Genomic DNA, 2894 nt, shown 5'->3' with positions numbered 1-2894 from the left:
TTCCTGCCACAGCCTCCTGAGTAGCTGGGACTACAGGCACCCGCCACCATGCCTGGCTAACTTTTGTGTTTTTAGTAGACGGGGTTTCACCAGGTTGACCAGGCTGGCCTCGAACTCCTGACCTCAGGTGATCCACCCACCTCGGCCTCCAAAAGTGCTGGGATTACAGGCATGAGCAACCACACCCGGCCATCCATAGCCTGTTTTTCTATTGAGCCAGTGGCTTCTTCCTTATTGATATACAAGACCTCTTAATACAAGAGCCTTTTGTCTTCTGCCTTACAAATATAATCCCCTGGTATACTTTTTTCACCGTTTGTCTTTTATTGAATTTTATTTATCCATGATGAAATTTCACTTTTTTATAAGGTCAAGTTTTTTTTGTTAATGGTTCTGAGTCTTGTCTTATGCCTAGAAAGACCTTCTCTGCTGTAAAACTTAAAAAAAAAAAAACCTCTTCCATATTTTCTTTGGGTGGTTTTACATTTTAATTCTTCACTTTATATATTTAATATACGTGGAATTTAAAGGTTTAACTTTATCTTTTTTCTACACAGTTAACCAGTTGTTTCAAAACCATTCATTGAATAATCCATGGTTTTCCATGATGTAAAATACTAACTTTGCAATATATTAAATTGGCACGAGCCTTTTGTCTTCTGGATTTATGCATCAGTGATACACTAACTTAATTACAGTAAATTTATAATATATTTTAACATCTAGAAACATTAATCATCCCTCACTGCTCTCCTTTTTCTGATCTCCCTGAGGGTGTTTTTATTCCTATTAGCACGAGGTGCCATTCTGCTCTATGGTTCCCAAATTATTGACTGACCTTAGGCAAGTCACCTAACTTCTATGCTTTAGCATATAATAAAGCTGATGATGGTGATATGGGAATGAATTTGTATTCATATATCTGGAAAGCATAAAGCTAAAAAAAAAAGAAAAAGTTATAAATTTAAGCCAGAAAGGAAACTATAGCGTTAACCAGGAATAAGAAAGTCAGTGCAAGGGAAATTCCCTCCGTTGGCCCCAGGTTCAAACTTTGTTCCTAATGACTAGTCCTGCATTCTTTCCTCTCTGTTTACTTTGGCATACCTCATCACACATTTAATTACAGAGTGAAAGCTATGAAACCACAGCACTGAAAGGAATCAAACCTGGCTGTCCTAAAAGCTATCTCAGCTGGAAAATGTTCCATCTTGTTTCTAAATACAGATTTCTGAAATTCTCTCTCTCTCTCTCTCACTGCCCTTGGTCCTTGTTTCAAAACTATAAATCTTCTGGTGATATATTTTTACAACTAATTATCCTCCCAGAGTAATTTATTATTTTCACTGTGGTATATAAAACAATCTCTTCTGAGAAATGAAAATTTAAAATATTATTGCCAATTAGGCTATAGATATTCAGAAAAGGCCAAGAGTACCAATTGTAGACTTCTGTGACCACACTGGCAAGGTTTTGCTTATGTAATGAAGGCCTTCTCATTTAAGTTATCCAACTCATTATTCATTCAGTGAACACTAGTCATCTACCATTTGCCAAGCACTGAGCGAGGCACTGGAGATCCTGCCTTCACTGAGCCCACACTATTGGAGGAGAGAGGCGTGTACAGAGATATTTTCCATACTGTGAGATAATTTGGCACTATATATGAAAAAGTGATTTAAATGGGCGTACCCTTTGACAATTTTCACTTCTAAGAATTTATTTTATTTTTTTCAAGGCAGAGTCTCACTCTGTCACCCAAGCTGGGTGTAATGTCGCAATTTCTGCTCACTGCAGCCTCAACCTCCTGGACTCAAGCAATCCTCCCACCTTAGCCTCCCGAGTAGCTGGGACTACAGGCACACGCTACCATGCCAAGCTATTTATTTTTATTTTTTGTAGAGACAGTGTTTCCCCATGTTGCCCAGGCTGGTGGTAAACTCCTGGGCTCAAGTGATCTGCCCACCTCGCTTTCCAAAGTGCTGGGAATACAGGCAAGACCCACCATGCCTGGCCCTAAGAATTTATTTAAGAACAGCTAGGTGCAGCGGCTCACGCCTGTAATCCCAGCACTTTGGGAGGCCAAGAAGGGCGGACCACAAGGTCAGGAGTTCAAGACCAGCCTGACCAACATGGTAAAACCCTGTCTCTACTAAAAATACAAAAATTAGCTGGGCGTGGTGGCACACACCTGTAATCCCAGCTACTCGGGAGGCTGAGGCAAGAGAATCACTTGAACCTGGGAGGCAGAGGTTGCAGTGAGCCGAGATTGTAGCACTGCACTCCAGCCTGGGCAATAGAGCAAGACTCTGTCTCGGAAAAATAAATAAATAAGTAAATTTATTTATTTAAGAAAATATTGAAATGGATGAACAAAAGGTATATGAACGAGTATCATAGCATTTCCACAATAATGATAATCGTCAGGAAAGAGACAAAATCAAACTACCTAAATATCCAGCAACTGGGAGAATCAAGTAAATAAACTATGACAAAACCATGTGATTGAATACTGTCAAACCACTGAAAGAAAAAAACTATACAAATATATAGATATAGCTATGGGTGATGATTCCTGATTTATTAACTGAAAAAAGTCACAAAACAGGAAGTGTTACCTGACTCTATTTTTGTAAAAATAAAATACACTTACAAACAAATTTTTAAAATATGAAACGATGTACATCCTAATGTTAAAAAAGAGTTATTTAACATTTGATTGGATTGTTGGTTATAAATTATTATATGTAAATGATTATATGATGGTTTATAATATGAATTGGGTATCTGGTTATAGACGATTTTTGTATTTTCAAAAAATAATATAGTGTAAAACCTAATTATATATTCATATATATATTTTACAAAGAACATGTATATTTTTAGTCAGAACAAAA

General features: G+C 37.3%; 1 annotated feature.

Moving 5' to 3' along the window:
• Window positions 921-1215: an enhancer, noted in NCBI's record as "tiled region #10963; HepG2 Activating DNase matched - State 8:EnhW". NCBI's record gives its function as "activates a minimal TATA promoter and a strong SV40 promoter by Sharpr-MPRA in HepG2 cells {active_cell/tissue: HepG2}" and the evidence as "EXISTENCE:reporter gene assay evidence [ECO:0000049][PMID:27701403]".

The sequence above is a fragment of the Homo sapiens genome, chromosome 5 (assembly GCF_000001405.40).
Source record: "Homo sapiens chromosome 5, GRCh38.p14 Primary Assembly".
In the NCBI taxonomy this organism is placed as follows: domain Eukaryota; kingdom Metazoa; phylum Chordata; class Mammalia; order Primates; family Hominidae; genus Homo; species Homo sapiens.
This window is presented reverse-complemented; position numbering and strand designations above follow the sequence as displayed.